This window comes from Homo sapiens, chromosome 1 (assembly GCF_000001405.40).
Source record: "Homo sapiens chromosome 1, GRCh38.p14 Primary Assembly".
NCBI lineage: Eukaryota > Metazoa > Chordata > Mammalia > Primates > Hominidae > Homo > Homo sapiens.
In genome coordinates this window covers 40200604-40219860 of record NC_000001.11, presented here as the reverse complement: position 1 = coordinate 40219860, position 19257 = coordinate 40200604, and the positions used below count along the sequence as shown (strand labels likewise).

The window sequence follows — 19257 nt, the reverse complement described above, 5'->3', positions numbered from 1 at the left end:
TTTCTCTACCAATGTCTCAAATTAAACTTAACTTTCTCCAATTATGCAGTTTCAGCAAATACTAACATTCTTTTAATTAGCTCTTAATATTGCTGTTTACCTGGCATTTTAAAATACACGAATATGCCTGATAATTAAATTTCTGATCAAGAGGTTCATAACTCCTAAGCATGGTATCTCACACACACATTTTCATTACCTATTAACTTGACTGTTTTACTTCCATCAAGGTTTCTATTGTGAAGGCGGAACTAGTTTATAGTGTGGGCTTTGTATAAGCTTCCAATTCAAGAGCTCATTTGCCTTGCACCCACTTATCTGAGCTAATAACAGGAATATCACTCTAGACTTATTTTCCACTGTCATTTAACTAAATGAGACATCTGATCATTTTTACAAATGAGAAAAACTGAAGCCAGAGTTTTTTCATATCTGTTATCTGTTCTTCCTTATAGACTCTAAATCCCTTGAAAACAGATACTAGATCTTATTTTATACTTTTATCCCCCTTAGCACCTGTTTTAGGATCTTCACATGACAAGCACTCAGTTAATATCCTTTGACTTGAAGAGAATCTCAGTATTATGCCCCAAATACCTGTACCTTCTTGAATATAGAGGAAAAGATATGATAAAGAAATAAAAGTAAATAAATAACTTAAAAAATTCATGTAAATTAAAATGAGATAACACCTCACTAATAAAATATGGTTATACTACTTGTCCTCAATCTTTTGCAATAAATACCTAAGACCACACTAAAAAACAAATATATGCCACAAAATACTTCTCAGCTAAAGTAAATTAAAATGAAGGTCACCAACAAACTTTTGAGAGTTTTAATGAGTATCTAGGAAACATCTTATACTTAAGATACTGAAACAATTTTTTGTTCTTAAATATAATTTCTAGTCCTGGGGCTTACAATTCTATAGCTATTAAGACAAACTGAACACGTGTTTTAAAGAATCAATTATGTTTACTATTTTACCACTAAAATGTAAGTTCCCTGAGGGCAAAAGTCTGTTTCTTTCACCACTGTATCTTCAGTGCCTACAACAGTGCCAGACCCATGAATGAACATCAATAACTATTTGTTAGAATGAAAAATAACTATAAGATAAATAACATGAAGAATAAATGGGACAGAAAACTGAAGACAGGAAGAATAATACTGACTGAAGGAAGCCACAAAGATTCCAAGGAAAAGAATTCTCGGGGAGATAGCAGTCTAGATGGATAGGGGAGAATGTAGCCCAAAAAATACAAAGCTGGAATGAGCAAACTAATTAACGTGAGAGTAATTGTGGCATGTGAGGAGGGAAAAGGTTATCTGATGTAACGGCAATGCGTGATGTCACGTAGCTGACACTCAGTGAATGAAAGGTTAAATTAAACAAGTTTAGAGACTTAGGATAGAGCTAAATCATACACTGGGGGAAAGACAGACTGAATAAGGCCATGTCACAGAGTTGTGCAGTTTTGCATGGCACAAAAGTAACCAGCCAAGGGAGTTAGTGGGGGCTGAAATTCAGTCCACTTGTCAAGCCCCAATGAGGCTTTTGCCCTCAGAAGACGGAAGACCTTTGAAAGGCAACCATATGAAGGTGGAGTTAGAGGGTGATGGTACTTTTTGCTGATTTCCACAAAGTTATCATACAGGCCAATGATAACAGAAGACTAAAGGATCTGAAACTTACTCATGGGGTTTTATGGGGAAAACAGATAATTTTGTTGTTTTCACTTGGATATACATCCAAAAGAAATCACTTGAAACCTGTAGTTTAATTACTATTTACTAGATTTCTGCTCATTACAAAAATATTTACGATAGAAAACCTAGAAAACAGAATAAAAACTATCCTTAAATCTTACAACTCAATGATAACCAGTATTAACAATGTGAATTTTTTTCCAGTATTATGTCTACATACACGTTACACAGCATGGGTTTAATATGTGACTACTGCAAATATATACATATTTTAAAGAAAGGTGATACTATGCTGGTTATATGTTACTTCTTTTACCTTATGCTATGTTGTGACTTAAGTAGGAGTTGGGTTTTTCTTTCTTTCTTTCTTTCTTTTTTTGAGACGGATTGCTCTGTTGCCCAGGCTGGAGTGCAGTGGCGCAATCTCGGGTCACTGCAACCTCCGCCTCCCGGGTTCATGCAATTCTCCTGCCTCAGCCTTCCGAGTAGCTGAGACTACAGGCGTACGCTCCCGCGCCCAGCTAATTTTTTGTATTTTAGTAGAGATGGGGTTTCACCGTGTTGCCCAGGCTGGTCTCGAACTCCTGACCTCAGGCAATCTGCTCGCCTCGGCTTCCCAAAGTGCTAGGATTACTGGAGTGAGCCACTGCACCCGGCCCATTTGTTTTTTACTATAAGAGACAGGGTCTTGCTCCGTGGCCCAGGCTAGAGTGTAGTGGTACGATGGCAGCTCACTGCAGCCTCGAACTCCTAGGTACCAGTGATCCTCTCTCCTGCCTCAGCCTCCAAGGTAGCTGGGACTACAGTCACCCACCATCATGCCCAGTTTATTTTATTATTTTTTTGTAGAGATGGAGTTTCATATTGTTGCCGAGGTTGGTCTTGAACTCCTGGCCTCAAATGTTCCCCCAACCTAAGCCTCCCAAAGAGCTAGGATTATAGGCATGAGTCACCATACCCAGCCTTAAGTAAGAGTTTTTACAGATGTATTCAACAGCCCAGAAAAAAAGGAGAAGGTGAGGAGAATATAGAGGCAAAGAGATCAATAAGAACAGAAGTTGCATGAGTGGACATTCTGGAATTCTTGTCTCTTTTTTTGGAGACAGAGTCTCACTCTCTCACCCAGGTTGGAGTGCAGTGGCACGATCTCAGCTCATTGCAACCTCCGCCTCCTGGGTTCATCCAATTCTGCCTCAGCCTCCTGAGTAGCTGGGATTACAGGTGCGTGTCACCACACCTCGCTAATTTTTGTATTTTTAGTAGAGACGGGGTTTCACCATGTTGTCCAGGCTGGACTCGAACTCCTGACCTCAAGTGATCTGCCCGCCTCTGCCTCCCAAAGTGCTGGTACAGGCGTGAGACACCGTACCTGGCCTGGTCTGTGGTTTTCTTTCTTAGGATGCCTTTGTTTGGTTTTAGTATCAAAGTAATACTGGCTTCATAGCATAAGTTGGGAAGTGTTCCCTCTTTTTCTATTTTTTGGAATACTTTGTGAAGGACTGGTATTAATTCTTCCGTAAATGTTTTGTACAGTGAGGCCCTGTGGATGTGGGAAATTTTTAAATTACCCTCTTTACTAGTCATAGGTATATTCAGGTTTTCTATTTATCTGTGAGTCAGTTTCTGTGGGTTTCTTTCTCTCTCTCTTTTTTTTTTTTTTAGACAGAGTTTCGCTCTTGTTGCCCAAGCTGGAGTGCAATGGCACAATCTCAGCTCACTGCAACCTCTGCCTCCCGGGTTCAAGCGATTCTCCTGCCTCAGCCTCCTGAGTAGCTGGGACTACAGGTGTGTGCCACCACGCCCAGCTGATTTGTTTTTTGTATTTTTAGTAGAGACGGGGTTTTACCATGTTAGCTAGGCTGGTCTCAAACTTCTGGCCTCATGTGATCTATCCGCCTTGGCCTCCCAAAGCGCTAGGATTACAGGCGTTGAGCCTCCGCACCTGGCCTCAGTGGGTTTTATCTTTCTAGAAATTTGTTCATTTCATCCAGTAATGTAATTTGTTGGCAAACAGTTGTTCAGAGTATTCCTTTATAATCCTTTTTATTTCTGTAAGGTTGATGGTATCTCCTTTTTTATTCCTGATTTGAGTATTCTCTTTGTTCTTGTTCAGTCTAACTGAAAGTATATCAATTTTGTCAATCTTTTCAAAGAACTTTATTACTTTTCTTTATTGATTTTCTATTCTCTATTTCATTTATTTATACTCTAATCTTTATTATTTCCTTCCTTCTGCTTGCTTTCAGTTTAATTTGCTCTTCTTTTTCTAGTTTCTTAAGGTGAATCGTTAGGTTATTGGCTTAAGATATTTCTTTTTTAAAATCAACATTTTACAAATAGAAATTTCCCTCCATAAATATTGGTATGTTGTGTTTCATCATTCATCTCAAAGTATTTTCTGGGCTGGGCATGGTGGCTCATGCCTGTAGTCTCAACACTTTGGGAGGCTGAAGTGGGAGGACCACGTGAGCCCAGGAGGTTCAAGGCTGCAGTGAACTATGATTCTGCCACTGCACTCCAGTCTGAGGGACAGAGTGAGACCCTGTCTCAAAAACAACAAAACAAAATACAACAAAAACTTACTCTCTAATTTCTTTTTTTTTCTTTAATCCATTGGTTATTTGGGAAGGTAGGTTAAATTTCACTTATTTGTGAATTTCCCAAATTTCCTTCTGCTATTGGTTTCTAATTTTATTTTACTGTAGTTAGAGAACATACTTTATGTATTTCAATCCTTTAAAATTTATTTAGGTTTGTTTTACTTGCTAACACATGGTCTATCCTGGAGAATAGACCATGTGCATTTGAGAAGAATGTATATTTAGCTGCTGTTGGGTGGAGTAGTCTATAGATGTCTGCTCAGTCCAGTTGGTTTACAGTATTGTTTAAGTCTTCCATTTCTTTGTTGCCTAGTTGTTCTACCCATTATTCAGAGTGGGTGTTAAAGTCTCCAACTCTCATGTTTGAATTGTCCATTTGCCTCTTTGATTCTGCTATTTCATGCATTTTGGGCTCTATCATTTCTCAGACTGGACAAGTTTGCTGATTCTTTCTTCTGGTAATTCAAATTTGATGCTGACCTTCTCTAGTGAATTAACTTGAGTTGCTGCACTTTTTGACTTCAGAATTTCATTTTGGTTTTTTATAATTTGTCTTTTTACTGATATTCTCTATTTACTGAGACATTGTTCTCATACTTTAGTTTTTTTTTTTTTTTTTTTTTTTTTTTGAGACAGGCTCACTCTTGTCCAGGTGGGAGTGCAGTGGCATGATCATAGTTCACTGCAGCCTTGACCTCCCAGGCTCAAGTGATCCTCCCACCTCAGTCTCATGAATAGCTGGGACTACAGGTGCACACTACCACACCCAGCTAATTTGAAAAATTTTTTTGTAGACACAGGGTCTCTACATGTTGCACATGTAGATGTTGCTCAGGCTGGTCTCAAGAGCTCCTCCCACCTCGGCCTCCCAAAGTGCTGGGATTACAGGTGTGAGGCACCTCACCTGGCCTCCTTTAATTCTTTAAGCATGTTTCCTTTAGTTCTCTGAATATATAGTTGGGCCTCACTATTTGCAGATTCTGTATTTGTGTATTAGCCTACTTGCTAAAATTTATTTGTAAAACCCCCAAATCAATAATCAGAGCACTTCTGTGATCACTTCACAAACATGCGCAGTGTGACAAAAAAATTTGAGCCACCTGACAGGCATATTACCAGCTGAGGTCAAAGGTGATATTCTTATGAGATTTATTTCTTTTTCTTGAGTAAAACCTCCTCAGATTGCTGTAAAGCCTTTATTTTTCAGAGTTCTAAAAAAGTTAATCTTATTCACTCTCTGGTTTCAAATGGTGATTAGAACTCTTAATTTCCAGCTCAGACCTCTAAATCTCACATTGTATGAACACTGTCTGTTGTTTCTCTCCCTTTTGTCTTGTTCATTCTTGTAACCCCATTGCCCAGCAGACACCTCCAATGAATGTATACTGAATAAATGGAAGGCATTTCTGCATTATTTCTTGTAATTACATGTGAATCTAAAATTACCTCAAAATAAAATATCTAATTTTACTTAAAAAAGAAAAAGGATCACCTTGGCCACTGCAGAAAACAAATTAGGAAAAGGCAAGATTAGATACAGTTAGAAAGGTTTCAAAATAATCAGGCAATTAAACAACAGTAATAACAGGCATAAGAGGCAGCCAACTGGCATAACAGAAGGTGGGTACAGGCAGCATACTTACGTTCCTAAGTTATTTTCCTGCTTAGGCTATCAATGTAAACTAGTATTCCGGCCAGTGCCATTAATATTTTATCATTACCTTTCTCTAGAATAGTGGTTTTCAATGCAGTATTTCCCTGATTAGTTCTGAGGTATACTGAAAACAATTTGTTCCTAGTAATAGATTTTAAAAATCAAAGTTGATAAATGTTTTATTTTTTCAAAAAGGAATCAAAGTAGATTTAAGCTTATTCATATAATAATACTTCATTCACTTGCATCCTTGAGTAGAAGAAAGGTGGGAGTTACAGTTAGCAAACTTACATTTCAAGTAACCCTAGATATCTTTGGGAAAATCATCTGTTAGCTTCAAAGACATTACCTGGGAAAAAAGAATACTGACCAGTTTTAAAAACATGAGACTCCTTTTAAACTGCAGTAATGCTACAGACCAGTACTATGATGCTGCACGGACCTTGTATATTTCTTAAAGAAATAAATGGTCACCAATGCTTCCATTTAAACCCTATCACAGTGTGTATCTGAAAGAAGGCTGAAACGTCCTGCTGAATTCTTGACAATATGTCTGATCGACTCTTCATAATGACCCCCTCCAGTGCAATCATACACCAACCAAAATACCCACACATAACCCATGAAAGTAAGATCAGAAGTGAGATCCAGATGCATACAAAGTTCTGGGAAGACGTCTCTTCAAAGCTATTTGAAAGAACTGTGCTTTAGGAGATAAAATACCTAAACAAGCAAATCCTCAATTTCTTTACACAGACTTTCTGTCATTAGTGTATTCTGAGTGTATTATCTCATTCCTTGTATGATCACAAGGATAAAGTAGAAGTATTAAGACTTTCAAAATAATCAGGCAATTAAACACCAATGGTCTAACAGGCAGCCAATTAGCATAAAAGAAGGTGGTGGAGGTGGCATATTTTAAACTTAATTAAACCTTTTGTAATTATTCCTTGTTCAGAGTTCATCTTAATCTTGATTCTTACTTAAACTACATCTGGAATTTCTATACTCCTGTTTACTTTTTCTTCTACTCCCAAACTGAATTCCCACTGGGTCCTGTTTAAAGGTATCTGCTCTATCATTTATACCTAGTGACTGTGTCAATTCCCAACAGTGTTAGGCTGGTAAGTAAATTGGATCCTGTTTGTCCTTTCCTTTCCCCATCAGGAAAAGAAACAACCATCTGCTATTGTGTCTATCAACCACGTCAGATACCGAAGATGTAGTTCATTCAGGGATTAAGAATGAAACGGACCCCTGCCTTAACTGCGCCAAGAACTCTGCTGACAGATTTCTTGAGCTCTTTAAAATAGAAGTGCTTGATGTTTAAAATGTTATCTTTTCTATGTTGAAAACCTGATCTTTGCAAAGACTTCCCCTTTCAGTAATGAAAAAATATAGGAAACATCCACTTGGGACACTGAGCCACTGCCAAGTCTATAACTTTTATTAAAATCCTTTAATATGTAAAGTTAATAGCAATGTCATCTCATTCAATTCTACATAAATAAAGTATCACAACCTAAAACTCCAGGATTCCATGAAATTCTTCTGCCTTCCAGACCTACCAGATATCTGAAAGGACTCACTCTTTACCCACTAGGTTCTGAATTTTGACTTTCAGATGACCCAGTCAATTAATCTTAATTGTATGTGTCTGGCTAAATCTTCCCCAGCAGCGGTTTCCCATTACATATGCCTATTATTGGGATACCCCCAGGTACCAACATACAATGTACTTTTATTCCCAGCTGTTGCTCAAGTTAACTCTTCTCCTGAACTCAGGTGAAGTAGATGGCAAATATGTGTGTAACTCTGCTACTTTAGAACGTATGCTGAATTTAAACTCTAATTAATCAACATCTGGTGACTCACTAGTAATTTTCCAAAGCAAACTACAGATTATTTTTAATTCTGTTGACACTTGCAAAAGAAAAGTATCACTAGGATAAGAGACTGACTAGTGGCTGGGCGTGATGGCTCATGCCTTGTAATCCCAGCACTTTGGGAGGCCGAGGCGGGCGGATAACAGGAGGTCAGGAGTTTGAGACCAGCTGGTCACCAGTAGAAACGGTGAAACCCCGTTTCTACTAAAAATACAAAAATTAGCCAGGCGTGGTGGCACGTGCCCGTAATCCCAGCTACTCGGGAGGCTGAAGCAGGAGAATCACTTGAACCCGAGAGGCAGAGGTTGCAGTGAGCCGATATCACGCCATTGCACTCCAGCTTGGGCAACAAGAGTGAAACACCATCTCAAAGAAAAAGAAAGGAAAAAAAAAGACTGACTAGTTATGATGATACGATGATACTAGGGTTCCTTTAAAATAATTTTAAGATAACTTTATGTGTACTAAATGTTTTGCATTGGTATATTTAACAAATTAATCCACATCATGATAAAAATGTTTTAAATCACACCTATATGTATAAATATGAACAGAATGATATATCACCAAGATGTTCCCAATCAGACCATGGCTTATCAATGTCTAACACATGGAAATAGGTGGTAGAGTGGAAAGAAGGCTGACCAAGGAGCCAGGTGACCTGCATTCCAGCTGGGCTTGGCCTTTCTAATTAGCTTAATGCAGGAAGGGCCTTGGAAACATTATCAGCTTGGCTTCAGTTTCATCACGTGTAGAACACGGAGGGTTAGACCAACCGATATTAAACCACTGAAATAGACTGGAAAATTTAATTCTTGTAGAGCAGAGGTTAGCAAATATTTTTCGTACAAGGACAGACAGAAAATATTTTTAGCTTTTCTGGCCAGAGAGTTTCTGTTACAACTACTCACCTCTGCCACTGTAGCACAAAAGCAGCCACAGACAAGAAATGAATGTAAGACTTTGTGCCAGTAAAGCTTTATTTATAAAAACAGGTAGCTGGGTGGGTGCCAACCCCCTGTTGTGAATAGTATCAAATCGTATTTCCTATAACACAGTTCCCTGCAAACTCAACACAATCAGGAAAAATCCTGTTTCCAAACATTGTTATTAATAAACCAGGAAAGATCATGTATAAAACAAAGCTTATCATCTTCCCAGACTCTCCCTTGTCCCTCCACCCATTCTTTCTTCTAATTAGCAGCAGAGCACCACTATTCTTCCAGTCTCCCAAGCTAGAAGCCTTATGAGCCTCTTGAAGGTATCTCTGTACATCCTCCTCTGTTTTTGCCCGGTCAGCAAGTCCTGTCCTTTGTCCTCTTGCTGGCTACAATCTCTTGTCCTAAACATAATACATATTCTTTCTGTCTAGTCTTCCTAAAACACCACTTCAGACATGTCACTTCCTAACTGCAAAGCCTTCTTAATTTCTACTGCATCAAATCTAACCATTAATGCAATGGAGTTTCCAAGCCCTTCTTTTCCAACCCCAACAGGTCTTATTTCTCACAAGACTTCAATAACCACTCTGCCCTAAGCAGGGTATTTATTCTCCAGTGGATCCCTGCAAAGTACTCATTAGTACCTGTGCTTTACTACCATTCAGTCATCTCCAAACCATTCTTTCCACCCATCCAAACCCCACCATTACTTAAAGCTCCAATTCAAGGATCAATTTTTCTATAAACACAGAATTCTCTATCTTTACACTTCTACTGAATTTAGGGCAGTAATCATTGAGCTTAGTACTTCTCTTTCTGTAACTATTTTTGGCAAACAAACTGGGCCATACAGTTTGCTGTATTTGCCAATGCCTAATACAACATTAGAAACAAAACGGGTTTTAATTAAGCAAAGGCTGAGAGAGTAAAGTTGTTATTATTACAGGATGAGGAATCAAACCCAAAATGTAGTGTTTTGCTGCTGCTTTTGAATTGTTTTGGCATGTGTCAGGTGCTGAGAATAACCATTACTACATCTCAGTCTGATTAACTTTCCCAAACATAAAATACTGCAGCTGCTATTAGAGGTAAGCAATCTATCTCCTTACACTACCTGATACTGCAAATAAATAAATTAGCATACAGGTTTATAGTTGGTCTCTTATGATCGCCTTTTTTTTTTTTTTTTAAGACGGAGTCTCGCCCTGTCGCCCCAGCTCGAGTGCAAATGGCACGATCCTGGCTTACTGCAACCTCTGCCTCCTGGGTTCAAGTGATTCTCTTGCCTCAGCCTCCTGAGTAGATGGGATTACAGGCGCACACCACCACACCTGACTAATTTTTTGTATCTTTAGTAGAGACAAGGTTTCACCATGTTAGCCAGGCTGGTCTTGAACTCCTGATCTCATGATCTGCCCGCCTCGGCCTCCCAAAGTGTTGGGATTACAGGCATGAGCCACTCTGTCCAGCCCATATGACTGCTTTTAAAAATGTAGATGAAGTCATAGGAGGCTATCTCTGTGTATACCACATTGTTTCTCTGTGCAAATTCAGGTTTCACCTCTGATCAATCTTGACTTCGACGGATCCTCCCTAGTTCTGCACCCCAGGCTTAAAGAATTCTTATACTAGGGTCTATGTTTGTAAGGTGTCTAAAATATGCCAAGAACTGTGTTAAGTGCTTTAGATATTATCACATTTAAACTATCCAGCCATTTTGTGAGACGGCTACTACTGTTGTGCCTACTTTATAGATAAGGAAAATAAAGCTACCTGGCCAAGGCTGTATGGCTAGTAAATGACAATGTCAAGATTCAAGCCTACATATTTTGATTGTTGCTTTCACTTCTCTAGATGTCTTGTGAAAAACATACTCTACCTAAGCTCCTCAGTAAATCCAGTCCAGTAATGAGCCACCCACAAGCCTCAGAACTTCAAAGTCCCCTCCCATCTTTTCTGAAGTTTCCCCTCTGGGTAAACAAAAGAAATAAAAACTTGCCTGCACAACAAGTCTACTTTAAGAACCAGAATCCAGAAAGAACCAGAAGGTTGGCAGTGACAGTGAGTTGGATCATGTACATGAGATGTGTGAGTGTCAGATTAATATGTATAAAAGCAAAGCAGAGGCAGATCACCTTGGATTTAAACCCTGGGCACACCACTTACTGGACATCTTACTACTATGCGCCAGTAATATCATCTCTCAGAGCCTCAGTTAATTTCTATAAAATTCAAAGTTTTTTTGTTTTTGAGACAGGGTCTTACTCTGTCATCTAGGCTGCAGTGCAGTGGTGTGATCTCAGCTCACTGCAACCTGCACCTCCAGAGCTCAAGCAATCCTCCCACCTCAGCCTCCCGAGTAGCTGGGACTACGGCACATGCCACCACGCCCAGCTAAGTTCTGCATTTTTTTTTGTAGAGATGGGGTTTCACCATGTTGCCCAGGCTGGTCTTGAACTCTTGGCCTCAAGCAATCTTCCCTCCTCAGCATCCCAAAGTGCTGGGATTACAGTCATGAGCCACCACACCTGGCCTAAATTAATAGATTTTTATAAGGATTAGATACCGACACATTTAAAGCACACAGCACAGTGCTTGGAATAGACAAGTGAGCAATAAATGTTTTCTGCAGTTATATTTAAGATTCAAGTAGAAAGTCTGAAAAGACAGGCAGTGCAAAGCATTTTATCCTTTGATTTCTTTATCACCAGAAAGTCTAACAAATAAGAACATTTATTAATGAGGCCCTAGGTCATAGCTTCAATCCCCATTTGAGGAAACTACATGTTGTCCACTTCATAGCCACCAACTGGCTGTTTCATCTCTGCATCCCGTATCTGTGCTCCTGTGTAAGGTCATTCCCCAAAACAAAGATGACTAGCATTCTGTCTCTATCTATACTTTCCCTGCCTAGACAATCCTCTCAGATTCAAGTTACTACTAAATCTCAAAGACCAGGCCACAGTGCTTCCAAGTGGAATGTTGCTAACCCAATATCCATCCCAGAATAAAGTCTGTGAGCACTTGAAAAAATACGTTAGTTGATAGAAATGCAAAGACTACTAGGAGCCAGGACAGAATCACAAATTCCTGGAGTCAGTATTTTGGCCACTGGGAAGTATCTTAGATATAAGTACATCTTAAATTTCAACAAGGGGCCAGGCGTGGTGGCTTACGCCTATAATCCCAGCACTTTGGGAGGCTGAGTCAGGCAGATTGCTTGAGGTCAGGAGTTGGAGACCAGCCTGGGCAACGTGGCAAAACCCTGTCTCTACTAAAAATACAAAAATGAGCTAGGTGTAGTGGCGCACGTCTGCAATCCCAGCTACTCAGGTGGTTGAGGCAGGAAAACTGCTTGAACTCAGGAGGTGGAGGCTGCAGTGAGCCGAGATCACGCCACTGCACTCCAGGCTGGGCGACAGAGACTCTGTCTCCAAAAAAAACAATTTTCAACAAAAAAATCTGATAAAAGATTCTCACAGTGGGAGATATGATCTGGGCCATAGCAGGGGGTCTTAGCCATTTGAAATAACTATTGACCCAAGCACTGATCCAGGATGCAATCAACCTATACAGAAATCTGAATCACAACACTGTACTTGGTTTCATCTTGGTTCTTATTTTTATAAATATACAGATAGCATAACTATATTTCAAAATAAAATAAAGCTGAGAGAGAGAAATATAAAATCACAATTTTAAAATTCAAAAAGACCTCCAAGCAAAGTTTAAAAACTTAGAAAGCATGAGTGGAATGTTCCAGCTTTGACATTCTGGTCATAACTCAGGTAATAAAGCTAGAAATCCTAGTAACAAAAGATCAAGGGATGAGGCTATACCTTTCATTAATTCATTCAATAAGTATTGAGTGCCTACATGGCTAAGCATTCTTCTAGAATACAGGGATATACCAGTAAACAACCTATGTTCCTGTCCTTCCGGAGTTTACAATCTAGTGGGAGGAAATACCGAATAATCAAATATGATGCCTAGTAGAAGCAGTAATGTGTACTATGAAGAAAATACAAATAGGCAGAAAGACAAAGTGATAGGGGTCATTTTAAATGGGTTAGTATATATTTATAATAATGACAGCAGATATTTAGGGCAGAGTAGGGGGCTAGGGTAATATTTTAGATGAGACAGCGAGGAAGGCCTCTCTGATATGGTAATATTGAACAGACATGAGAACATTTAGAGCAGACATGAGGTAAGGGAGTAAGCCATTCAAATTATCTTGTGGAAGGCAATTCTCGTCAGAGGGAATAGCAAGCACAAAGCTCTAAGACAGGAACATCCTTGGCTTGTTCAAAGAACAGCAAAGACAAGGCGGCTGGAGAGTAGTGGGCACTAAGATTACAAGATAAGGTGAGAGAACGTTAGAAAAGTAGCCAGGGCCCATGGCACATAGAATAAAGAATTCTGAATGTATTCTGAGTAAGATGGAAAGCTATTAGATAATTGTGTGCAGAGAAGTGGCATGGCACGACAAGTTTTAGAGAGATTATTCTGGCTATTTTCAAGATAAAATGTAGAGGCCAACAGTAAAACCAAGTATGCCAGTCCAGAGACTTCTGCATTCATCTTTGAACCCCAATGCCTAACACAGCATTTGGCATATAAACTCTAAGGTAAATACCAACAAGGATAATATTCCTTATCCTATGTCTTTAATATAATATTACTGGTAGTACACCAAACTCAGGTTTGAATCCCAGCTTAACCACTTTAGCTTTGTAACCTTGAAGCACACAACCTAATCTGAGCCTGACTTTCCTCATCAATAAAATGGAGCTACCTCAGAGCTATTGTGCTGATTAAATGTAGCAAAGTATATAAAGCATTTAGCATGGTGCCAAACACATAGTGAGGACTAAAAAAAACCCTCATAAAAGCAAAGTCCAAATATCAGGAATATCAAGAGCTTAGTTACGGACATGTTAAATCTGTAAGTAGAGATGGTAATTAGGCAATTGGATATGGGTCTGGAGTTTGGAGGAGGGAACAGGGCTGGAGAGAAAACTTTTGGGAGTCAGACCATAGTTGGTATTTAAAGCCAAAGATGAAGGAAATAAGCCTAGTTAAGTGTAAAAAGAGAAGACCCAATGACAGAGTCATTGGGTACTGCAACATGTACTCATCAGACAGCAAAGTAGAACTGAGAAAGGAGTAATCAATGAGGTAGACAGAAAACTGAAAGTCATCATTAGATTTAGTGATATGGTATACTGCCAGGGGCAAAGGTCATATTAGAATGTCTTGAAAGAAGAAAAATGGGCCAGGCACCGTGGCTCACGCCTGTAATCCCAGCACTTTGGGAAACAGAGGCGAGCGGATCACGAGGTCAGGAGATGGAGACCATCTTGGCTGACACGGTGAAACCCCGTCTCTACTAAAAATACAAAAAAAATTAGCCGGGCATGGTGGCGGGCGCCTGTAGTCCCAGCTACTCGGGAGGCTGAGGCAGGAGAATGGCGTGAACCTGGGAGGCGGAGCTTGCAGCGAGCCAAGATCGTGCCACTGCACTCCAGCCTGGGTGACAGTGCGAGACTCTGTCCCAAAAAAAAAAAAAAAAAAAAAAGAAGGAAGGAAAATGTTCGATAGTAAATTAAGACAATTTGTTAAAGAAATTATGCTTAAAAAGCCAGAAGGAAATGGGGCAGTAGCTAAAAGTAGAAACAGGATCTAAAGCAGCGTTATTTTTATTTTATTTTATTTTTTTGAAGACAGAGTCTCGTTCTGTTGTTCTGTTGCCCAGGCTGGAGTGCAGTGGCGTGATCTCAGCTTACTGCAGCCTCTGCCTCCTGGGCTCAAGCAATTCCCGGGCTCAAGCAATTCTTGTGCCTCGGCCTCCCTAAGTGCTGGGATTACAGGCATGAGCCACCACCTCTGGACCTAAGAAGAGCTCTTTTTTAAGGACAGAATAAATAATAGCATAAATGCCAATGGGGTGGTTATAACAGAGACAGGGAAATCGATGATGTAATAGAGAAAAGGAGAACTGCTGTAGCATTATCCTTAAGGGAGACAACATCAATTGAAATACAGAAGTGAGGGAGGCTGGCCTTAGCTAGGAGAACAGATATAATTTATCTCTAGTAACAGAAGAGAAGATGTACATTCATAGATGCTGGTAGATGAATAGATGTTTCAGAGACAGAGCTTATGAAAATTCTCTTATTTATCTTCTCAGCGCTTCAATTTTTTTCAGAGAAATAGGGAGTTAAGTTCAGCAACAGAGAGTGAAACAGGGCAGAAAGTATTACAGTATAGTTTTGAAGAATAAGAAAAAACTATGCAACTATCTAAGAGTGGGAGAATGAATGGGCTAAAGAAATATAGGCTGGGTGCAGTGAGTGGCTCACACCTGTAATCCCAGCACTTTGGGAGGCTGAGGTGGACGGATCATTTGACCCTGGGAGTTCGAGACCAGCCTGGGCAACATGGCAAGACCCTGTCTCTCCAAAAAAATAAAAAATAAATAAAAAATAAATTAATCGGGAATGGTGGCATGTTTCTGTGGTCCTAGCTACTCCAGGGGCTGAGGTGGGAAGATCACCTGAGCCCAGGATTTTGAGGCTGCAGTGAGCAGTGTGCGCCACCACACTCTAGCCTGGAGTAAAATTAGCTGGCAGATTTTTCTCCATGTAAATTTGGCCCCATGAGTGCAGGTAAACACATAGAGTAGGTGAAGATTTAGGGATAATCAGGATACTGGTAGTCAAACAAGTACAATTAAGAGAGAGACCAGTGGCCGGGAGCAGTGGCTCACGCCTGTAATCCCAGCACTTTGGGAGGCCGAGGCGTGTGGATCATGAGGTCAGGAGTTCAAGACCAGCCTGGCCAAGATGGTGAAACCCCATCTCTACAAAAATACAAAAAAATTAGCCAGGCGTGGTGGTGGGCGACTGTAATCCCAGCTACTCGGGAGGCTGAGGCAGGAGAATTGCTTGAACCCAGGAGCAAAGATCGCGCCACTACACTCTAGCCTGGGCAACAGAGCGAGACTCTGTCAAAAAAAAAAAAAAAAAAGAGAGAGGACCTCTCGCTCTTTGAGAGTGATAATGATGATCTGACAATGACAAAGCAGAGTTAAATAGGGAAGTGAATACATAAGGGGGATAAGGGAAAATGAAAAGGTGACAAGATCAATAGATCTTGATTGATCCTGGTGGAGACTGTATATTAAAGGGAGTAAGGTAGAAAGATAGACAATTGTATTTGGAGAGTAAGATATTACAAGTAAAAGTTTCAGAATTACTACAGCATAAAACCAGATCCTTGGGACTACTACATCTAATAAAAAATTTCAGTTCAGAGTAAGAATCCATATGTCAGAATTGAATGGCAGATAAGAGGATTAAAGGTAGATGATGAAATAAAGCTTAAGAATCTCTAGTTTTTTTCTGTATAATGTCAAAAACCATTAGAGAAGTCTAACTCCAAATTTAAGAAACATAATAATTGAGGTTTTTTTTTTTTAAAGGATGCAATCTGATACATAAAATAGTTGTTGTTTTTTTGAGATGGAGTCTCACTCTTGTCACCCAGGCTGGAGTGCAGTGGCACGATCTCGATGCACTGCAACCTCCACCTCCCGGGTTCAAGCGATTTTCCTGCCTCAGCCTCCTGAGTACCTGGGATTACAGGCGCCCACCACCATGCCTGGCTAATGTTTGTACTTTTAGTAGTACAAGCTGAAGCAGGTGGATCAGTTGAAGTCAGGAGTTCAAGACCAGCTTGGCCAACATGGTGAAACCCCGTCTCTACTAAAAAGTACAAAAAGTAGCCAGGCATGGTGGCGCATGCCTTTAGTCCCAGCTACTTGGGAGGCTGAGGCACAAGAATCACTTGAACCCGGGAGGCAGAGGCTGCAGTGAGCCGAAATTGCACCACTGCACTCCTGCCTGGGTGACAGAGCAAGACCTTGTCTCAAAAAAAAAAAAAAAAAAAAAAAGACTCAACCCTTATTTTCCATGATATCCAGTTTGGCCACTTAATTGTTCAGGATGTAGTCATGGAATCTAGAGTCCTATACTTTTCTGCTTACAAAATTAAATATATAAAGTAACTTAAGCTAAAATTAAGTGCCATTTTCTTTAGTTTATCCCTTGATGCCATGATTAACAACTTCTGCATTCCCCAAACATGGAGACGTCATTACTTTAAAAAGAAAAAACAACTTTCACATTTAAAGATTTCACAGCAAATCATCACCCAAATAAGTAAACATGCCTCTGTATATTCTTTAGTTATCTACTTTTCAAATTCACTCTAAAATATTACATTCTATCTGTCGAGCAGTTAAATATACAATTAAAATCATACATTTTGGTAGCCTGAAAAAAATGAATCTTGGTTTTCATTCTAAAGGGAAAAAATAAACCATGCAATATATATATAAATCTATTAAATTAATACCAAGTTTGAATGACAACAATTATTTACTCACCTCCTTAATAGCATCTTCATTAGGGAGCATAGAACATAAACATGTGATATAGGCTTGCTGAAAAGATGACACATTTGAAATTTCTTTAGATTCTGCACATAGTTTTGATAAAGCAGTAGCCTGGGGGATGCAGTTAGATTTCAACAAATGTTTTATTCGCATTTGCAGAAAGGAAGGTCCTTCTTGTGCAATCAATTTATTGACTAGAAAAAATGAAAAATAAAACAGTTTGACAACATACCACATAACATGTCAGACTTGCTAAGATGAAAGTTTGAGATCTTTTTATTTGATTTTTAGTTAATAAAAATTTAGTTTATATAAATGAGAAGTTTACTCTGGTCTCAATATTCATCTAATAGAGATGAGAGGAAAATTAAGAAATAGTGAAATGAACTATAAGCATAAATGCAAGAAATGAAGCAAGTAACCTATGTAATATTAACAACTATCAACTGAATGCTTACGAGACATCAAGTTTTAAGCTGCATATTTTTATATACCTCTCATTTATTCTTCACACCACCACCAAGGCAAGTATTATTATCCCCAGTCTAAGGTTAGGAAAATTAATATTCACAGAAGTTAGGTAACTTGCCAAGGATTCCAAAGCCAGTGGTGCTCTTTCCTCTAAACCAGGCATTTCTCAAAGTGTGTTCCACCGACCAAAAGACCTGAGAGATAGTCCTAGAAAAAAAAAGGATTCCTTGGTCAAATCTCTGAACAGTCCTGCAATAAAGAAAACTGTTCACTTTTATTTAAAAACCCAATGTTTCCTAAACTGATTTGACCAGAGAACCCTTTTATACATATTAGTAACCTGTAAAACATGTGTTCCTGGTTCAGTACACACTTTGGAAAATGCTACTCTGAAAGCTTCAGAAGTACTGAAGCTCAGTACTTCTGAGCTGTACTGAATATTAGGCACTTGGCATTGACTGTACAGTGCTCTGGATGAGCCCTCAAATTTTTTTTTTTTTTTTTTTTTTGAGATGAAGTCTTGCTCTGTCACCCAGGCTGGAGTGCCGTGGCGCGATCTTGGCTCACTGCAAGCTCCGCCTCCCGGGTTCACGCCATTCTCCTGCCTCAGCCTCCCGAGTAGCTGGGACTACAGGTGCCCGCCACCATGCCCGGCTAATTTATTGTATTTTTAGTAGAGACGGGGTTTCACCGTTGTTAGCCAGGATGGTCTCGATCTCCTGACCTCATGATCCACCCGCCTTGGCCTCCCAAAGTGCTGGGATTACAGGCATGAGCCACCGCACCCGGCCGAGCCCTCAATTTTTGAATAGTAAATATCCAACAAGTATGTGACATCACTACATAGTATTACTTAAAGAATAGAGGTGAGAATATTGCATGTCAAGCCAAGTGGTGAGTAAACAAACTGCTTTAGGTGGTTAATCTAAAACAGTATCTCTCAGACTTGAAAGTGCCTAGATCACCTAGGGAGCTTATTAAAATGCAGATTCTGATTTATTAGGTCTGGGACCTGAAATTTTGCTTTTCTCACAAGCTCCCAGGTTGCGGGGGGGGGGGGGGGGGTGTGTGTGTGTGTGAGGTGTGGGGGGGGTGTGTGTGTTTGTGTGTGTAGAGTAGCAATGGTTTATACTAAGGATAAACCACTGGGGTGTGTGTGTGTAGAGTAGCAATGGTTTATACTAAGGATAAACCAGTGTGTGTGTGTGTGTGTGTGTGTGTGTGTGTGTGTGTGTGTGTGTGTGTGTGTGTGTGTGTGTGTGTGTGTAGAGTAGCAATGGTTTATACTAAGGATAAACCACTGGCCCAATTTTAACTACATATGAGAATCAATCGTAACATTATCCTTTAAAATAATATAAAGAAAAACATATATATATATATAATCACAGATTTCAAAAGGACAGAAAAAGCTATACAGTTAAAGTTTTTCTCCCTCCTACCCTGACCCCAGTGCTCTGGTTTCCCACCCTGAGAAACAACAAGTTTCCAATTTCTTGTTTATCCTTCCAGAAATATTCTATGAGTATGG

At 39.6% G+C, this 19257-nt stretch overlaps 1 protein-coding gene across 2 annotated transcripts in view; it reads right to left on the bottom strand.

Moving 5' to 3' along the window:
• The window catches only part of RLF (RLF zinc finger), a 79535-nt gene that overhangs the window by 21061 nt on the left and 39217 nt on the right, over positions 1–19257 (bottom strand). The window contains exons 2-3 of one of the 2 annotated variants that reach the window (XM_047427055.1): positions 17845–17933; positions 17247–17449 (exon numbers count right to left, since the gene is read on the bottom strand). In XM_047427055.1, the coding sequence (XP_047283011.1) occupies positions 17247–17408 (162 nt within the window). In that variant the 5' untranslated portion in view covers positions 17409–17449; positions 17845–17933. The remainder of the gene's footprint in view (positions 1–17246; positions 17450–17844; positions 17934–19257) is intronic. The other variant, NM_012421.4, reaches the window with a different exon arrangement.